Source organism: Homo sapiens, chromosome 1 (assembly GCF_000001405.40).
Source record: "Homo sapiens chromosome 1, GRCh38.p14 Primary Assembly".
Classification (NCBI taxonomy): Eukaryota; Metazoa; Chordata; class Mammalia; order Primates; family Hominidae; genus Homo; species Homo sapiens.
In genome coordinates this window covers 205,280,053-205,299,428 of record NC_000001.11, presented here as the reverse complement: position 1 = coordinate 205,299,428, position 19,376 = coordinate 205,280,053, and the positions used below count along the sequence as shown (strand labels likewise).

The following is a 19,376-nucleotide window of genomic DNA, read 5'->3' as shown; positions in this document are numbered from 1 at the left end:
CCAGGCTGGAGTGCAGTGGTGTGATCTCGGCTCACTGCAAGCTCCGCCTCCCGGGCTCACGCAATTCTCCTGCCTCAGCCTCCCAAGTAGCTGGGACTACAGGCGCCCACCACCACGCCCGGCTAATTTTTTGTATTTTTAGTAGAGACGGGGTTTCACCATGTTAGCCAGGATGATCTCGATATCCTGACCTCATGATCCGCCTGCCTCTGCCTCCCAAAGTGCTGGGATTACAGGCATGAGCCACTGCGCCCGGCGAGAAGCTGAAGGGTGAGGGACAGGACTAGAATTGGAGGGGATGGAGGAGAGGAGGACACAGTGGAGGGAAAGCCTGTACCTAAGGGACGCGCAGGGTGTGGAATGGGGAGGGAGGGAGAGGACACAGCCCTTTCCATCAGTGCTATCTCAGCAGGGGCTGGGGGAGGTGGACTTTCAGGAAAGGAGAGTCCTAACATCTGTGTCCTAACATAACCATTCGGTCCTAACATCTGTGTCCTCCTGCATCTGCTTATGTAACCTCTTCTAAGCCAGGTGGAGGGAAGGGTGGGCAAGGTGAGGGGGTGGATGTGGGGGAAGCCTTCTGGGGAAAGAAAATCTGAGCTGGAAGAGAATGTCTATTTTCTTGGTTCCAAAGAGACCTAGATGAGGGACTGTGGATCCCACCCTGCACAGCCCTTCCCCTCACCTGCCTGGATGCTTCATATCAAAAACATTCCAGAAACCAGGCTCACAGCGATGACGTGGGCCCCCAAGGGAGAAGGCTGAAGCTGCAGGAATATTTAGTGCCACATCAGTGCTTCCGGAATGTGAAGAACCCAGATGATGACGAGGGTTGGGGGAGGTGGGGAAGCAGCTTTGAGAGACAGCAAAGGGCCTTCTGCAACCAGGACCATGAAATCCTGGTAGGAATCCTCTCCCCATCCTCAGCCCTTTCCCGGGGCAAGTCCAGGCAGTCCTCTGTGTAGAGGGAGGGAAACTGCAGCAGCATGTTAGTACCCACCATCAAGATGACCCCTTCACCTCTCCCCCTGCTCCATCCCATCAGCTGCCTTGGGCCCTCCTTGGGCAGATAAAGTGAGAGGGGAGACAGTGATCCAGAGCACTGTTGGGAAGCAACAGTCCTCTGCAAAGCACAGTGCCCACACTCCAGTAGAGCTTCTAGAGGCGGACTTCAGCTCTGCGAGTCAGAATCTGAAGCCCGCTGACTGATAGCCCACACATGTCTTGAGGACAAGGATGGACCCAGGACAAAGGAAGAGTCCTGGGTCTTAGCTGAAGAGTCTGGGCACTTTTAAAGTAGGGGAAGGGGAGTGGGTGGGAATCACATAATAGATGACACGGTTGATCTTCTGGAAAAGAGAATAGATGTACAGGCCATGGCTCAGAGAGCAGGACCAGGACAAGGACCAGGACCAGGACCAGTGAGTGGGGGCTACTGAGACACTAGATTCAGCTTGATAAGGCAACCACCTACATAGGACATTCATGCAGGCCGGGCGCAGTGACTCATGCCTGTAATCTCAGCACTTTGGGAGGCTGAGGCAGGTGGGTCACTTGAGGTCAGGTGTTCGAGACCAGCCTGGCCAACATGATGAAACCCAGTCTCTACTAAAATTACAAAAATTAGCCAGGTGTGGTGGCGTGTGCCTGTAATCCCAGCTATGCAGGAGGCTGAGGCAAGAGAGTCACTTGAAACCAGGATGTGGAGATTGCAGTGAGCCAAGATCACACCACTGCACTCCAGCCATGGGGACAGAGCAAGACTCTGTTTCAAAAAAAAAAAAAAAAAAGTATGATGTTCATTCAGTCATTCAGTCATTCATTCAGTATTTACTGAGTGCCAACAGTGTATACTGTTCCAGGCTCTGGAGATACATCTGTGAACAAAACTGAGATTTTTGTCTTATGGGGCATCCATTCTAGTGGAGAAAGACAAGTATAGTAAATAAGTAAATGATATAGTATATTAAAAGGCCATGGCCAGGCACAGTGGCTCAAGCCTATAGTCCCAGCATTCTGGGAGGTCAAGGCAGGCAGGTCACTTGAGTCCAGGAGTTCCAGACCAGCCTGGGCAACATGGCCAAACCCTGTCTCTACAAAAAAATGCAAAAGTTAGACGGGTGTGGTGGTTCACATCTGTAGTCTCAGCTACTCGGGAGGATGAGGTGGGAGGATTGCTTGAGCCTGGGAGGTCAAGGCTGCAGTAAGCCAAGATTGTACCACTGTACTCCAGCCTGGGCAAGAGAGTGAGAACCTATCTCTAAAAAGAAAGAAAGAAGAAAAATTAGTCAGGAATGGTAGCACACACCTGTAGTACCAGCTACTTGGGAGGTGGAGGTGGGAAGATTGCTTGAGCCCGGGAGGCAGAGGTTGCAGTGAGCAGAGATTGCACCACTGTATTCCAGTCTGGGCAACAAAGTGAGACGCTGTCTCATAAGTAAATAAATAAATAGACCTGGCATGGTGGCTCATGCCTGTAATCCCAGCACTTTGGGAGGCAGAGAAAGGCAGGATCACCTGAGGTCAGGAGTTCGAGACCAGCCTGGCCAACATGGTGACACCCTGTCTCTACTAAAAATACAAATATTAGCTGGGCATGGTGGCAGGCGCCCGTAATCCCAGCTACTCAGGAGGCCGAGGCAGGAGAGTAGCTTGAACCCGGGAGGCAGAGGTTGCAGTGAGCCAAGATAGTGCCACTGCACTCCAGCCTGAGCGATAGAGCAAGACTCCATATCAAAAAATAAATAAATAGTCATGATAAGAATTAGGAAAATACTAATAATAAGGATGGGGTATGGGGATGGAGAGGAGACAGGATTGAAATTTTAAATAAGGGTGATCAGAGAAGGCCTTCCTGAGAAGGTGGCATTTGAATAAAAACCTGGTGGCAGGGGTTGGGGGTGGAGCTAGCTATGTGGCTATCTGGGGGAACAGTGTTCAGGGTGGAGGGAACAACCATTGCAAAGGCCTCAAGGCAAGAGCAGGTTGCAAGTTCTAGAACAGCCATTGATGCTGGAGCAGAGTGCATGAGAGAGTAGCAGAAGACGTGTCAGGAGAGGTAACAAGGGTGGGGAAGGTAGATTACACAGGGCCTTGTGAACCATTACATGGGCTGTGGCTTTTATTCAGAATGAAATTGCCAACCACCAGGAAGTTCTGAGCAAAGGAATGACATTTTTTTTTTTTGAGATAGAATTAAAAAAAATTCTTCTGCTTGTTGAGACTAGCCATGGGAGGGTCGACATTGTCCAATTCTGGAAAGAGGTAATGGGGCTTGGACTGGAGTCAGTAGTAAAGAAATGACAAGTTGTCAGATTTCTGACATATTCTGAAGCTAGAGCCAACAGGCTTTCCTGATGGATTAGATGTAGGGTATGAAAGAAAGAGAGAAACCAAGAATCACTCCATGGTCTCTGGCCTGAGAAACTTGGAGGGTAGAGTGTCCATTAGCTGGGTCGGGGAAGACTTGCAGATGGAGGAGGTGTGAGGTGAAGTCAGAGGCACTTAGGCCTCCAGGCAAAGATAAGTGGTATGAGGAGCCTGGAGTTTGAGAGATTTGGGTTGGAGATAGAGATGTGGGGGTTGTTGCTAGAAGGAATTTCTGCTTCAGGTGAAAAATCCCGCCAGATGATACCTGAAGAAGTCCCTTCTGGCTGTAAAGATCCTAGGATTGTATTGACTAGGAAAGCAGTTCTTTCCAAAGCTTCTCTGATATGATTATGTGGGGAGGTGGGCAGTGCTGCAATGAGGAGGCATATTTGGCCTGGTGGGGACTGGCTTTCTCCATCCGATAAAAAGTCTTTTTTTTTTTTGACACAGGATCTCACTCTGTGGCCCAGGCTGGAGTACAATGGTGCAATCTCAGCTTACTGCAGCCTCGACCTCCTGAGCACAAGCGATCCTCCACCTCAGCGCCCCCCTGCTCCTCCAGTAGCTGGGACTACAGGTGCATGCCACCACACCCAGCTAATTTTTTTGTATTTTTAGTAGAGACGGGTTTTGCCATGTTGGCCAGGCTGGTCTCGAACTCCTCACCTCAAGAGATCCACCTGCCTCAGCCTCCTAAAGTGCTGGGATCACAGGCTTGAGCCACTGGGCCTGGCCAAAGTCTTTCACAGATTTTTATAAGAATGTTAGAAACGTCACCCTTGGACCAGGGCTCTGCCTCTGACATTGGCACCTGCAGAGGGGTTGTGAGTCGCTTTATACAGCAGAGGCCCCAGGTTGGGAGAAGGATTCCCAGTCAATCCTCTTTCTGTGTTTCAGAACTTCCTACTTCAGATCCCTGAAGGAGCCTGGAAGCGGATCACAGCCCAGGGAGGGCACGGGAATCTCTGCATTTTCACAAGCACGGCAAGTGGCTCTGATCACACTAAAGTTCCAGAATTTACTCAAGGTGAGGGCCTGAACCTACCTTAACCTGGAAGATTTTTACTCTGCCAGGCATGCAGCTTCCCTCTGGGATGAAAATCTTTCTCTCTTTCTCATTCTGCCTCTTTTTGGCTCTGAAATCCTCTCCTCACCATCTCTTTGCAAAGGAATTCCCCATCCTTTTCAGTTGTCTTTTCCTTTCTCTTTCCAGCCTCCAACCCCCTCCCTGAGCTAATCCCACCATCTCAGTTTCACCCTTTCCCCTCTCTAGGGGCAGTTGGGTCAAGCTGGGGGATGAGTCATCCTAGGTGGGGGAGGGGATTTCAGGTCCATAAATGGGCAAAAACTCAGATTTCAGGTTTCCATGTCTAGGAAAAGGCCAGTCTGTCCCCTCTATCTCTCCACCCTCAAAGGAATTCCCCAGGGAAGAGGAGGCTGGCTTTGACCGGATGGAATCCTAGAAATAGCAGAGCTTTTTAGGAGATACGTTTCAGTCTGACTCAGCTTCCCTGATAAACAGACAGTGCCGGCCAGGAATTTCCCAGCCCAAGAGGCCAAAACCCCCACTTCCCAGTGGAAGTGTTCAGCTCTGCCTTTGGTGTTCTGGGCCCAGCCAGCACCCCTGCCTCCATCCTCCTCACCATTCTCTTCCTGTGATCAGAATTCGAGCTCTGAGCTGCATTAACCTGAGCTCTGGCCTGTGAGGGCACCCAGCCATTGCAGCAGAACTCACCACATGTCCCGCCTGGAAGCTAGGGTCAAGGTGCAATGACCTTTCAAAGTTCCCCCAGCTAGATTCTGAATCACCTCTTTATGAGCCCTGGCAGCAATCACCCATCGCCTTTGTTGTGTCCATCAGGAGGGTCCTTGGTAAGTGGCAACTTCATACTCACAGCAGGCTAGTTACTGGCAGGGATCCCTTCTCTGCTAAGGGACCCCTGGCTTGCCCTGTCTCCCAGTCCAATGTGCAGTCCTCTGTGAATCCAAGAGCCATTGGTGAGGCCAGGTGGGGCCTGGGGAGAGCCTGGCCTGCCAACAGGGCCTCACATGGTGGCCGGGCTCACCTGAAGACCTGTTTGCCAAAGTGAGCAGCCTCACTTTGCTGCTCAGAAACCTTGCTTATCAACAGGCTAGGAGGCTCAGGAGCAGACTCACTGAGCTCTAGGAGAGGAATGGATTCAGCCAACATGCCAATTCATTCATTTCTAATGAATAACAAAACCCCTGTCAAACCAACCAGATACTTGGGTTTGCTGATGAGCACATTCACTGCCTGTGGCAGTTTCACACAAGGGTATTCGGAAGTTCAGTGGGAAGTCTCCTTGAAGAGCATGGAAGCTGGGCTAGGAGAGCTGGTTGAATTGGTCTTCATGGTGGTGCCAACCTCTTTGTCAAGATACATCTGGTAACGCCGTTCAGGACACCCTGCCCCAGCGCAGCTTTTGGGAGCGCCTCCCCACGCACGTACACATCGGACATCACAAAGACAGCCTTGCTGGGCTAGCACATTCTTCCCACAGAGTGCATTGCAATGACTTAGAGAGTCACTTTCACAGTCAGCTCACACCCATCACATTACTGCAAGGATTAAATGAGACAACACATGAACATGCTTTTTAAGCAATACATCACTGGAGAAAACCTAAGGAGTGAGAACAGGTACTCAATAAATGTTTAATAAAGGGCCTCCACCCGCTTTCCTGGCCCCAGCCCCTTATAAAGGGGAACTTGATAGTTAAATCAAGTGAAAACCCATTCCCTAATAAACACATCAACATTTATTAAGACCTTACTATTGTTCTAGGTGCCATGGAAAATACAGAAGCAATTGAGGCACGTCCCCTCCTTCAAGGAATTTACTTATAATAAAGTTGGGGCCATAAACTAACACCTACAGGATGGATGTTAACAGCACAGAGGTGGCTGGGCACTGTGGCTCACGCCTATAATCCTAGCACTTTGGGAGGCCAAGGCGGGCGGATCACCTGAGGTCGAGAGTTCGAGACCAGCCTGACCAACACGGAGAAACCCCGTCTCTACTAAAAATACAAAATTAGCCAGGCACATGCCTGTAATCCCAGCTACTCGAGAGGCTGAGGCAGGAGAATTGCTTGAACCCGGGAGGCAGAGGTTGAGGTAAGCCGAGATCGCACCATTGCCCTCCACCCTAGGCAACATGAGCAAAAACTCCATCTCAAAAAGAAAAAAAAAAAAAACAGCACAGAGGTGAGTGTGCCAAGGGTGTGTGTAGTAAGACGCCCCAGTTCCACTGGAGCTGGTTGTCATGGGACTGCTTGTGTTGACGTGGCTACACTGAAAACTGGCTGTTTTCGGTCCCCACTCTTGCGTCACTGGATTGGTCAGTCAAGGAATAAGCCCCCCAGCTGTGGGGCTCTGCACGCCTGGGCCCAGGGGCAGAGTTAGTAGAGCAGATATTTGAGAGCCCAAGTCATTCCTCATAAGCAATGTTAGCCTTGCTGTCCCAGCCCTTGCTGGAAATGCCCACGAGGGTCAGAATGGGCAGACAGACTGGGCGTGGTGGCTCACACCTGTAATCCCAGCACTTAGGGAGGCAGAGGCGGAAGGTAGCTTGAGCCCAGGAGTTCAAAACCTGCCTGGTCAATATCTCAAGACCCCATTCTCCACAAAAAGGGGGAAAAAAAAGAATAGGCAGACAGATGCCAGGTAGGGGTGAGGAGTGGAGTTGGTCAACTCCCTCCCTCGCCAGTCATGGTTGGGGGTGGGGTGGGCAGCACACGGCTGGCTCCTTGACCCTGGCCTCCCACCAGGCTCACCCATTCTGTCTTTCCGCCTAGCAGGGTTGACTTTCTTTAGATGCCTCTTTAAGGCTCCAGGAACACAGAACTGCAGTTCTGTCCTTCACAGCTAAGTCAGCTTGGTCCACCTCACAACTGAGTCCCATACCCAGGCCTTTTGGGGCAGTCTCTCTAGCCCCAAGATTCCCCACATCTGCACCACTCATCTCAGAAAAAAGAACAGCTTGGAATTACATTAAATTATGTGTGTGGTGTCACATCATCCCCCATCCCAAATTAACTTGCGGGGCAAAGGAGTAGATACCGATCACCACTGAAGTCTCTGGCATTGTGCTAGAGCACTGGTTCTCCAAGTGTGGTCCAGGAACCCCTGGGGGAACCCCTGGGGGCTCCCCAAATCTTTTCAGAAGGTACACACAGTCAGAAGTGGGGTTTGTTGTTGGTGGTGGTGGTGTTATGAGACAGGGTCTCGCTCTGTCACCCAGGCTGGAGTGCCGTGGTGTGATCATGGCTCACTGCAGCCTTGACTTCCTGGGCTCAGGTGAGACCACAGGCACGTGCCACCACCCCTGGCTAATTTTTTGTACTTTTTGTAGAGACAGGGCCTTACTATGTTGCCCTCGAGGCTGGTCTCGAACTCCTGGACTCAAGTGATCCACCCAACCTGGCCTCCCAAAGTGCTGGATTATAGGCCTAGAACTGTTTTACTAATAATAAGGAAACATCATTTGCCTTTTTCACTCTCATTCTCTCATGAGTGTACAGTGGAGTTTTCCAGAGATTCACGGTGTGTGATATTACAACATACCAAATGCAGCAGTTGGAGGTATAAGAATCTACCTCTGCACAATTGTGTGAATATATTTATTTATTTTTTTGAGGCAGAGTTTCACTCTGTCGCCCAGGCTGGAGTGCAGTGGCGCAATCATGGTTCACTGCAGCCTTGACCTTCTGGTCTCAATTGATGAATATATTTAACACTATTGAACTATATGCTTAAAAATGGTTAAGATGGGCTGGGCACGGTGGCTCACGCCTGTAATCCCAGCACTTTGGGAGGCTGAGGCGGGTGGATCACGAGATCAGCAGATTGAGACCATCCTGGCTAACACGGTGAAACGCTGTCTCTACTAAAAATACAAAAAATTAGCCGCTCGTGGTGGTGGGCACCTATAGTCCCAGCTACTCGAGAGGTTGAGGCAGGAGAATCGCTTGAACCCAGGAGGCAGAGCTTGCAGTGAGCTGAGATCGCACCACTGCACTCCAGCCTGGGCGACAGAGTGAGACTCAGTCTCAAAAAAAAAAAAAAATGGTTAAGATGGTAATTTTATGTTATGTTTTTTAACATAATTTAAAATTGAAAAATCAAAAAATATTTGTAAAATAATGTAGAACAATGCCACTCTCCTCAATAATTTTTTTTGTTTTGAAAAATTATTTTTTGTACATATGTACATAATGAGATATTACTGTTATCTTAATTCCTGCTTTTTTTTCTTTTTTTGAGACTTACTCTGTCACCCAGGCTGGAGTGCAGTGTCGTGATCTCGGCTCACTGCAACCTCCGCCTCCCAGGTTCAAGTGATTCTCCTGCCTCAGCCTCCTGAGTAGCTGGGATTACAGGCATGTGCCACCATGCCCGGCTAATTTTTGTATTCTTCTTTTTTTTTTTTGAGATGGAGTTTTGCTCTTGTTGCCCAGCCTGGAGTGCCATGGTGAGATCTTGGCTCACCGCAACCTCCACCTCCCGGCTTCAAGCGATTCTCCTGCCTCAGCCTCCCAAGTAGCTGGGATTACAGGCGCCTGCCACCATGCCTGGGTAATTTTTGTATTTTTAGTAGAGACGGGGGTTTCTCCATGTTGGCCAGGCTGGTCTGGAACTCCCGACCTCAAGTGATCCACCCGCCTTGGCCTCCCAAAGTGCTGGGATTACAGGTTTGAACCACCGCGCCTGGCCTTAATTACTACTTTTAAAATGTCTGTTTGCCTTTCTAATATGGTAAATACCAGTAGCTATCATTCACCCACATCAACAAAGCTTCTTTGGGTGTCCTCAATAATTTCTAACAGTGTAAAGAGATCCTGAGATCAAAATGGTTGAGAACTGCTGCTTTCATGCGAAGGAATACAAGGTTGGGTGCAGCGACTCACGCCTGTAATCCCAGCACTCTGGGAGGATGAGGCGGGTGGATCACTTGAGGCCAGGAGTTCAAGACCACCCTGGGCTATATGGCGAAACCCCATCTCTACTAAAAATGCAAAAATTAGCTGAGCATGGTGGTATGTGCCTGTAATCCCAGCTATCTGGGAGGCTGAGGTGGGAGGATCCCTTGAGCCTAGGAGGTTGAGGCTGCAGTGAGTTGAGATCACACCACTGCTCTCTAGCCTGGGTGACACAGTAAGACTGTCTCCAAACAAAAAGAGAAGGAATACAGCAGGCAGGGGGTTGCCAGATAAAAGAAAGGATGTCCAGTTACATTTGAATTTCCGATAAACAATGAATTTTTTTTTAGTATAATATTACACAGGACATGCTTAACTAAAAAGTTATTCATTTTTTTTTTTGTTTTTTTTTTTTTTGAGACGGAGTCTTGCTCTTTTGCCCAGGCTGGAGTACAGTGGTACAGTCTCGGCTCACTACAACCTCCGTCTCCTGGGTTCAAGCAATTCTCCTGCCTCAGCCTACTGAGTAGCTGGGATTACAGGCGCACGCCACCACACGCGGCTAATTTTTGTATTTTTAGTAGAGATAGGGTTTCACCATGTTGATCAGGCTGGTCTCGAACTCCTGACCTCATGATCCGCCCACCTCAGCCTCCCAAAGTGCTGGGATTACAGGCATAAGCCACTGCCCCTGGCCTTCTATTCATTGTTTATCTGAAATTCAAATTTAAATGGGTGTTCTGTGTTCTGTATTTTTACTTGCAAAATATGGCAACCCTAATAGCAGGAGAGATTTGGGTTAGTCAACAGGATGAACTTGGATCAGATATTGGGATTCTGACCCAGGGAAGGATGGAGAATCCCCTATTCTGGACAGCTTTAAAAAAGGAGAATGTGGGCCAAGTGTGGTGGCTCATGCCTGTAATCCCAGCACTTTGGGAGGCCAAGGCAGGCGGATCACCTGAGGTCAGGAGTTCAAGACCAGCCTGACCAACATGGAGAAACCCCGTCTCTACTAAAAATACAAAATTAGCCGGGTGTCGTGGTGTATGCCTGTAATCCCAGCTACTTGGGAGGCTGAGGTAGGAGAATCGCTTGAACCCAGAGGGCGGAGGTTGCGGTGAGCTGAGATCACACCATTGCACTCCAGCGTGGGCAACAAGAGCAAAACTCTGTCTGGAAAAAAAAAAAAAAGAAAAAAAAGGAGAATGTGGCCAGGTGCGGTGGCTCACACCTATAATCCCAGCACTTTGGGAGGCTGAGGTCAGGAGTTCAAGACCAGCCTGGCCAACATGGAGAAATACTGCCTCTACTAAAAATACAAAAATTAGCCAGGTATGGTGGCACATGCCTGTAATCCCAGCTACTCAGGAAGCTGAGACAGGAGAATCACTTGAAGCTGGGAGGCAGAGGTTGCAGCGAGCCAAGATCGTGCCACTGCACTGCACTCCAGCCTGGGCAGCAGAGTGAGACTCTACCTCAAAAAAAAAAACAAAAAAAAAAAGCAAAAAAAAAGAAAGGTGAATGTGTCTGAGGACTGAAGGGCAAGCCTCTAAATGCTTAGGGGTAGAGTTTATAGTCAGAGGGACCTTCCTGCAGCTGGGCCAGAGACTCACCCACCCTCTAGAAACCTCAGCAGCTGAGGATGAACAAAACCCACAGGAAGTGGTGGAAGTGAAACTTGGTGTCAGTGTTGTTGTTATTAAAAGGGGGAAGTGACACCGGGTGAGTGAAGGGTGGGTGGAGGTGAAGTCTCTATAGGCAGCGAGGTCATTCGGCAGCGCCCCCCTTCCTGCTCTGCTAAGAATAGTTACGGTTGTGATAGGGGTGTGGTTTGTCTGAGGCTGGGGGAATGAATCTCGCTTGATGTCTGGATGGGGCAGAGCAGAAGTAGCACTGGGGTGGTCAGAGCTTCAAGTCAGGTGGCAGCAAAACCTAAGAAGCATTTTTGGGTTTGGAAATAAACAAATAAGTGGCCTCAGAAGCAGCTCAGAGGAGAAGGATCCTGCCTTCCAGCTAAGAGAACTATAAGAGGGAAGCAGGGCCCATGACCATGACAGTCCCTCCTCTAGTCAGCTTGGGAAGCTCTGAGAAGCTCTTTCCATTAAGAGAGTCAGGGATGCTCCAGAAATCAGGCTGGCAGGGAGGCTGCAGTGCGTTTTTGTCTCTAGCACTTACTGAGCACTTACTGTGTGCTTGACATTGTGCCAGGCCCTGAGGCTCCAGAATTAAATACAGTGTGGTTCCTGCGCTCCAGAGGTTGGAAGTCCAGTGGAAGAGATATGCATCAAACTAATATAAATTCATGAATTCATTGTGATCAGAGGTAATAGTTGAAAGCCCAAGCAGCAGCCTACCTACTGTGAGCCTGAGCCCACCCCTCAGCAACTCCCCAGCCCTGGCCCAGGCTGCAAACCAACAGAGGCCGGAGTCACCCAGCTGCCTGCAGAGCAGTGCATCAAGTCAGGACCCTTTCTCTGCCCAGACGTCTTTGCCAACTGTTTGGAACAAAGGGAAATCATCTGGTTTGGGGAAAGACATAAGAATGACCGTTTTCTTTCCTAAACCTTCACCCTCTCCCATTTCGGCCTGAGAAAAGCTGTTAGATGCTTCTTCAGAGGGTTTCTAAGGGCCACAATTGCCTTCCACCTAAGAGGGAACAGGGTGGGGAGGGGTGGCAATGGCCTTCTTTGACCGCAGAGGTTTTGGATTTAGCCTGAAGTCACAGAACAACTGAAGCCAAGAGACAGTTCACCCTTTCTGGTGTCTAGAGCTTATTGAACAAATGTCCATTGACCCCCTATTGCTAGGGGCAGGGGTGAAATATTGAGTTGAGTCCAGGGCTCCAGCCTACTAGAGGCACAGTCTGTAGAGAAGTCAGATAATGACCAGGCGGTGCCTAAGCTGGATCTGAATCCAGGGCCTTTAGTCATCAGACACTGGACAGATTCTTCGTGGAGGGAGTTGGGCCTTGAAGGCTGAAGAGTTTTCTGGGTCAAGTACATGTTTAGGGAGCAAGAATTCCTTGGAAACTTAAAAACTGGTCTCCCATGGTCAAGTCTGGCTCCTGTATGTGAACATCATACACACAGAACATGGCTCTGTATCCTGACTCCTATGCACCCCCGGCCACATTGTATACTCCTGCTTGTATGCTCCTGGCCAGTGAGGTGTCTGCAGTCTTGGGACAAGTGGTGGCCAGGGAGTCTTTGTCCCCTGGGTTCCTGGGGTTCAGGCTTCAGGTCTGGTTTCTGCCGTTGCCCCTCCTCTGGTTCCCTCCTTCTCACAAGACACAGCCTGACAACCTGGCCTTCTCTCTGCCTTCGTTAGGAGGGAGGCTGCTCAAACCACAGCTCACCACAGCTCACCACAGCTCACCACAGAGGCCAAGCTGGGTGTGCCTCTGTGGAGCAGCGGCAGGAGCCGGCTGAACACAGCCAGGACCAGTTTCCCCAGGGGCCAAATGCAACCTGTTCTCCATTGCATCTTCCCCACTGGTGGGCAAATTGTGTTGGGCTTCTGTGAGGCCCCATGAAGGTAAGAGAGTCTGGAGTGACTTTGCCCAGATTGGCTGTGTGACCTTGAGCAAGTCACTGGACCTCTCTGGGCCTTGACCTCCTTTATTCGATTATAATCCAGACCCTAGGGTCTATCCCAGCAATGTACGTGAACGTGTATTGTGAGTTGTCGAGCACAGCACTCGTGTGAGAGGTTATTACTTTATTACTTTGAATTTGCCCTGAGCCCCACAGTTTGAATAGGGAGGCTGCCTCAGAATTTATTTTTGAGTATCAGCTTCCAGATGGAAATTCCTAACCTGGGGTCTGAGGATGGTCTGCAGGGAGTCCTGGTGTCATATAGAGAATTTTTGAGTAGATGCGTTTTTCTTGGAAGAGGATGCAGAGTTTTCATCAGACCATTGAGGTCTGTTAAGAGCCACCATCTGAGCCCTAGGGCTCCCTCCATGGGGGGCAGGCAGAGGGGCCTCAAATCCTTGGTGGCCGTATTCATGAACCGAAGTGACCTGCTCAACAAGGACATGCCTATGTGGGTCTGAAAATACCGGCAAGCTAACAGAGCTCATGAGAACCACAGTGCCAGAGCCTGCGAGGTGAATTTCATTAGCACCCTCTGTGCTGGCCTGACCTTAGCTGGAGCACTGCGCTCTGTTCAAAACAACATGCTTTTTGTGGTTTTTTTTTTTTTTTGGTTGGTTAGTTTCGTTTTTTTAGAGATGGAGTCTCACTCTGTCGCGTAGGCTAGAGTACAGTGGCGTGATCACAGCTCACTGCAGCCTTGATCTCCCAGGCTCAAGAGCCTTGATCTCCCAGGCTCAAGCGATCTTCCCACCTCAGCCTCCCAAGTAGGTGGCCCATGTCTTCACGCCTGGCTTTTTTTTTTTTTTTGGTGAGAATCAGTAATTTTTTTTTTTTTTTTTAACTAGAGATGGGGTCTTGTCATCTTGCCCAGGCTGATCTCAAACTCCTGGACCCAACTGATGCTCCTCCCTCAGCCTCCACTTTGAGATTACAGGCGTGAGCCACTGCACCTGGACAAAGACATAATGTTTTAAGAAGAACTTGGGTAAATGGAAATGTTTCCAGAGGATACAGGCCAAGCTGTCAAAAGGTCTTAAATCCATGTCTTAGGAGAAATGACTGAAAGAACTAAGGGTATTTGGCTTGCGGCAAAGAATATAGGTTAGATGGGGATTGGAAGTGCGTTAACTTCTTGAAATACTGCCTAGTGGAGTCTACCCGGGAGGCAGATAGAAACTTAGCAAAAGGAAATACTTTCCAACAGGGAGCCCTGTCCCTCCTGGAATGGAATAGGACTTTCCTCTGCCTCACATACTTGGTTTTGCAGGAAGGAATAAATTGCAGACAGGATCCAAGCTCTATCTAAGAAAGGAACAAATAAATGACAATGACCACTTCCCTAGGGTTTGGGGAGACTGGGTGATGCCTTGTGGGTCAGGGCAGGGGAGTACAGGCTGGACTTGGGCCCCTGCAGCCTCTATCTCCTTCACAAAGGAGTCTGCTCTGTCTGCCTGGGTCTGCAGCTGTCAAACTCCTCCCTCTCCACTTCACAACCCTCTGATGTGGTGTTGCACAAGCAGGGGGGGAGCCAGGTTGGGTGAAGAGAGAGGAAGCTGGCGGCCCTGGGAGGCTGGGCTGCAGCTCCCTTGGAGGACAAGCTAAGCTGTCATGGGCCAGGCTGGAGGGGTGGGGAGGGGAAGATGGCTCACTGGTGAGTCATGGTGGCCATTGTCTGCTCCTGCTCCCTCTGGGGGAGGGCGACTGAAAGAGACAAGCCCTCTGGCCAGCTGGGCCTGTGAGGGCAGGTTTTCCACTCTTGTCCTCACAGCTCTGAGAGCAGCTGGGGTTTGGCTCCCTTACCCTGATTTCCCATCATGCAGCAAGGCAGGGCTGGTGGCTGACATTAGATGGATGTTGAGGGGAGGGTGTCCAACCCCGCTCACACCTTGCTAAGGGGCTCAGGATGGTCACACAGTGGATCCTAAAGGCCCAGGCTGGGGGAGAAGCTGTCCTGCCCTGTCTGGCATGGCAGACGATGCAGGCAGGCGTGCCCCTCTCTAGTGATCACACTGAACCTGAGCGGCACACCTTCCCCACCGCACCCTTCCTAAACCTCCTTCCAAACCTGCTCCCATCTAGCAGGCCTGTCCAGCACCCCACCCTCCCTCAGGGCCCCAGGGGAGCCTGCAGAGAGTGAGGTCACTCTGGATTGGTGCCTGGAGGCACCACCCTTGCCCCTCACCACAACCTGGTCTGGTCCGAGTGGCAGGGCCTCCATCCTGCCCCCTGTGAAGCCCAAGTTTGGGTCCCTGATAACTCCTAAGGCTGACGTCACAGAAGCACAGAATGACAGACTGTCAGGGTTATTGTATGTTGGGGAAACTGAGGTTCACAGAGGTCAGACACATGCAGCAGGGGTGCCCAGTCTGCAGTGGGCAGGTGGGGAAGGGAAGACTCCCTGGTGGGGGACTGCTGTGCTCCCAGGCCCTAGCAGGCCTCCAACTTGGGGACAGTCTGAGTTTGGGGCCACCTTACAGTTCCCCTGCCGCTGCCTCCGTTGCTGCTTCATTCTCGTTTGGGCAGAACAAAGGTGTTCCAGAGCTCAGGGGGTGAGGTGAGGAAAAGAGCTACCTTGTGTGGGCGGCTGTGTGGCTTTGGAGTCGACAGATGTAGGTTAGAGCCCGCATTCCTCAACCTTCTGGTGGCTGGACCCTGAGAGTTGCCTAGATCTCATTTCCCATCTGTGAAGTGACAGTAATAAGCATCTTACAATGCAAAATGCTTTGCATATGTCGTCTCATGTATCTTTGAAGAGGGACAGAATATGCCACACCAAAATATGCCATTTCAGCATAAGGGTTACTCTCACTTGAAAAACAGCTGATACAAAAGACAAACTCTGACCTCCTCCCTTTTCTCCCTGTCCCCGGGGGGAAAGAAACGTTTTTGTCACCAGAGATGAGGAGTTGAGGCTGAGGCAAATTTGTACAAAAGGATAAAATACCTCTTACCTTCCTTAGCGTCCCTAATCATCCTTTTCCACAGTCGCCTCTTTCTTTCCTTCTTTCTTTCTCTTCCTTTCTTTCTTTCTCTCTCTCTCTTTCTTTCTTTCCCTTCCTTCTTTCTTTCTTTCTTTCTTTCTTTCTTCTTCTTTTTTTTTTTTGAAACAGAATCCCGCTTTGTCACCCAGGCTGGAGTGCAGTGGCATGATCTCGACTCACTGCAACCTCCGCCTCCCAGGTTCAAGCAGTTCTCCTGCCTTAGCCTCCTGAGTAGCTGGGATTACAGGTGCATGCCATCACGCCTGGCTAATTTTTGTATTTTTAGTAGCGACGGGGTTTCACTATGTTGGCCAGGATGGTCTTGATCTCCTGACCTCATGATCCACCCACCTTGGCTTCCCAAAGTGCTGGGATTACAGGCGTGAGCCACCGCATCCAGCCTAACAGCCCTTTGTCTTCTAGTTGCTGAGATCATAGGGTGAGGTCCTTGGCCATGGTCAGGTGTACTGGGCACTGCTGGACAAGGGACACTTAAACGAGGTAACAGAAAGGACTTTCTGCTTTGGGAGGCCGAGGTGGGAAGATTGCTTGAGCCCAGGAGTTCAAGACCAGCCTGGGCAACATAGTGAACTTCATCTCTACAACGTAGTGAGACTTCATCTCTACAATAAAAAAACAATTAGCCGGGTGCATTAGTGGGTGTGGTCCCACCAGCTACTCGGGAGGCTGAGGTGGGAGGATCGCTTGAGCCCAGGAGCTCAAGCCTGCAGTAAGCTGAGATGGTGCCACTGCACTGCAGTGAGACCTTATCCCCCCCAAAAAAAAGACTTTCTGGCTGGAAGGCTAACGAGGCGCTGGGATGGGTGAAGTGTGTGATGATGGGTGTGTCATGGAGCCGAGAGAGCTCTGCCTGCTGATCCAGCTCGCCTCTGGCAGTTTGTTGCTCTGTACTCTTCCTCAGATCCTGACTTTATTTTGGCACTTACCAAGCTCTCTTGTCACTGACCTATTTTCATCTCTGTCTTTCCCGATAGATTTCAAGATGTTCACGCAGAGTCTGTCGAGCTCACCTCTGGATACCCCAGCTCCTACACGAAGCAAATGTTTCTTTTTTTATTTTTTGAGACAGTCTCACTGTGTTGCCCATGCTGGAGTGCAGTGTCCCAATCTTGGCTCACTGCAGCCTCCGCCTCCCGGGTTCAAGTGATTCTCCTGCCTCAGCCTTCTGAGTAGCTGGGACTTCAGGTGTGTGCCACCACACCTGGTTAAATTTTGTATTTTTAGTAGAGACGAGGTTTCACCATGTTGGCCAGGCTGGTCTGGAACTCCTGACCTCAGGTGACCCACCTGCCTTGACCTCCCAAAGTGCTGGGATTACAGGTGTGAGCCATTACGCCTGGCCCTGATGTTTCTTTCTTTTTTTCTTTTTTTTTGAGATGGAGTCTTACTCTGTCGCCCAGGCTGGGGTGCGGTGGCGCGACCTCAATTCACTGCAACCTCCACCTCCCGGATTCAAGTGATTCTCCTGCCTCAGCCCCCCACGTAGCTGGGATTACAGGCCAGCACCGCCACGCCTGGTTAATTTTTGTATTTTTAGTAGAGATGGGGTTTCACCAGTTGGCCAGGCTGGTCTTGAACTCCTGACCTACAGTGATCCACCCACCTCGGCCTCTTAAAGTGCTGGGATTACAGGCATGAACCACCATGCCTGGCCCAAGCCAACGTTTCTACAGGTTTGAAGAACAGAAGCGTGAACAGTTCCTTTGCAACCTCTCCCTGGCTTTTCGCTTTTGGGGTTAGAGTTAAGCTCCATGGCTGAAGGACCCAGACTTGAGAAAAAATACAAAGTCAACAGAATTTGGAGACATTTTGTCTTGCTTTCTGCCTCTTTGAAAGTGATTTTTTCCCTCAACTTCCCGAACTCCAACCTTCCCTTTCTCCTGAAAAGCAGGAGAGTGTTCAATGGGTTGTCACCCACACCAGGGGCACCTACATTTTTTTTTATTATTATACTTTAAGTTCTAGGGTACATGTGCACAATGTGCAGGTTTGTTACATATGTATACATGTGCCATGTTGGTGTGCTGAACCCATTAACTCGTCATTTACATTAGGTATATCTCCTAATGCTATCCCTCCCCCCTCCCCCCACCCCATGACAGGCCCTGGTGTGTGATGTTCCCCACCCTGTGTCCAAGTGTTCTCATTGTTCAGTTCCCACCTATGAGTAAGGTGTTTGGTTTTTTTTGTCCTTGCGATAGTTTGCTGAGAATGATGGTTTCCAGCTTCATCCATGTCCCTACAAAGGACATGAATTCATCCTTTTTTATGGCTGCATAGTATTCCACGGTGTATATGTGCCACATTTTCTTAATCCAGTCTATCACTGATGGACATGTGGGTTGGTTCCAAGTCTTTGCTGTTGTGAATAGAGGGGCACCTACATTTTTGTTGTTTGTTTGTTTGTTTGTTTGTTTGTTTGTTTTGAGACAGAACCTCCCTCTGTCGCCTAGGCTGAAGTGCAGTGGCATGATCTTGGCTCACTGTAACTTCTGCCTCCCAGGCTCAAGTGATCCACCACCTCTGCCTCCCAAGTATGTGGGACTACAGTCACGCGCCACCCTCCTCTGCTAATCTTTTATATTTTTTGTAGAGACAGGGTTTCGCCATGTTGCCCAAGCTGGTCTCAAACTCCTGGGCTGAAGCAATCCACTCACCTTGGCCTCCCAAGGTGCTGGGATTACAGGCATGAGCCACCATGCTGGGCCCATTTCTTTGGTTTTCTTTTTTTTGAGACATGGTCTTGCTCCGTCACCCAGTTTGGAATGTAGTGCCTGCAGCCTCGACTTCCACCTCCCACGCTCAAGCAAGTCTCCCACCTCAGACTCCCCAGTAGCTGGGACTACAGGCGTGAGCCACCATGTCCAGCTAACTTTTTAATTTTTTGGTAGAAACAGGGTCTCCCTATGTAGCTGGTCTCAAACTCCTGACCTCAAGTGATCTTCCTGCCTCGGTCTCCTGTGGTGGGACTACAGACGTGAGCCACCGCACCCAGCCACACCTGCATGTTACACGAAGAAGTAACGCCTAACCTGAATATGGCTTGTCACGCTTCAGTTACAGGCAGGAGCATTGTTGTCCAACCTGGGTTCATCCTGGGTGTGCTGTCCACTAGCTGTGTGTCCATGAGTGAGTTCCCTTCATCCTTCTGAGCCTCAGCTTGCTCATCTGTAAAATAGAGTCCAGTGACACCTTTCTGGCCATTCTCCAGGTTGCTGTGAGGATACAATGATTCAGTCCAGCACACAAGAAGCATTTGTGAGCTATAAGGGCCTGAACAGAAAAAGGGTTCATATTGCCATGACTTTGGGCCAGGGTGGGGCCTTCCCACACCCTCAAATCATACCAGAGTCGATGACAGCTGCTTTGCGTGGAAGCCACCTCCTTTTTAATCTTAAAGCTGACAAGCAGAGAGGGTAGCCCTGGTATCGCTTTCATCTTCAGCCTCACCCCTGGGGGAGGGT

At 50.1% G+C, this 19,376-nt stretch overlaps 5 annotated features.

Annotated features, from left to right (window-relative positions):
• Positions 3,931-4,784: an enhancer, noted in NCBI's record as "NANOG-H3K27ac-H3K4me1 hESC enhancer chr1:205263773-205264626 (GRCh37/hg19 assembly coordinates)". NCBI's record gives its function as "activates a minimal SCP1, AML or CMV promoter by ChIP-STARR-seq in primed H9 embryonic stem cells {active_cell/tissue: H9 hESC(primed)}" and the evidence as "EXISTENCE:reporter gene assay evidence [ECO:0000049][PMID:30033119]".
• Positions 3,931-5,512: a biological region, named in NCBI's record as "P300/CBP strongly-dependent group 1 enhancer GRCh37_chr1:205263045-205264244".
• Positions 4,313-5,512: an enhancer, noted in NCBI's record as "P300/CBP strongly-dependent group 1 enhancer chr1:205263045-205264244 (GRCh37/hg19 assembly coordinates)". NCBI's record gives its function as "activates an origin of replication core promoter dependent on BRD2, BRD4, P300/CBP, MED14 and CDK7 cofactors, with strong dependence on P300/CBP, by STARR-seq in HCT116 cells {active_cell/tissue: HCT116}" and the evidence as "EXISTENCE:reporter gene assay evidence [ECO:0000049][PMID:35650434]".
• Positions 7,509-7,748: an enhancer, noted in NCBI's record as "active region_2378". NCBI's record gives its function as "activates an Ori minimal core promoter by ATAC-STARR-seq in GM12878 lymphoblastoid cells {active_cell/tissue: GM12878}" and the evidence as "EXISTENCE:reporter gene assay evidence [ECO:0000049][PMID:35858748]".
• Positions 14,832-14,931: an enhancer, noted in NCBI's record as "active region_2377". NCBI's record gives its function as "activates an Ori minimal core promoter by ATAC-STARR-seq in GM12878 lymphoblastoid cells {active_cell/tissue: GM12878}" and the evidence as "EXISTENCE:reporter gene assay evidence [ECO:0000049][PMID:35858748]".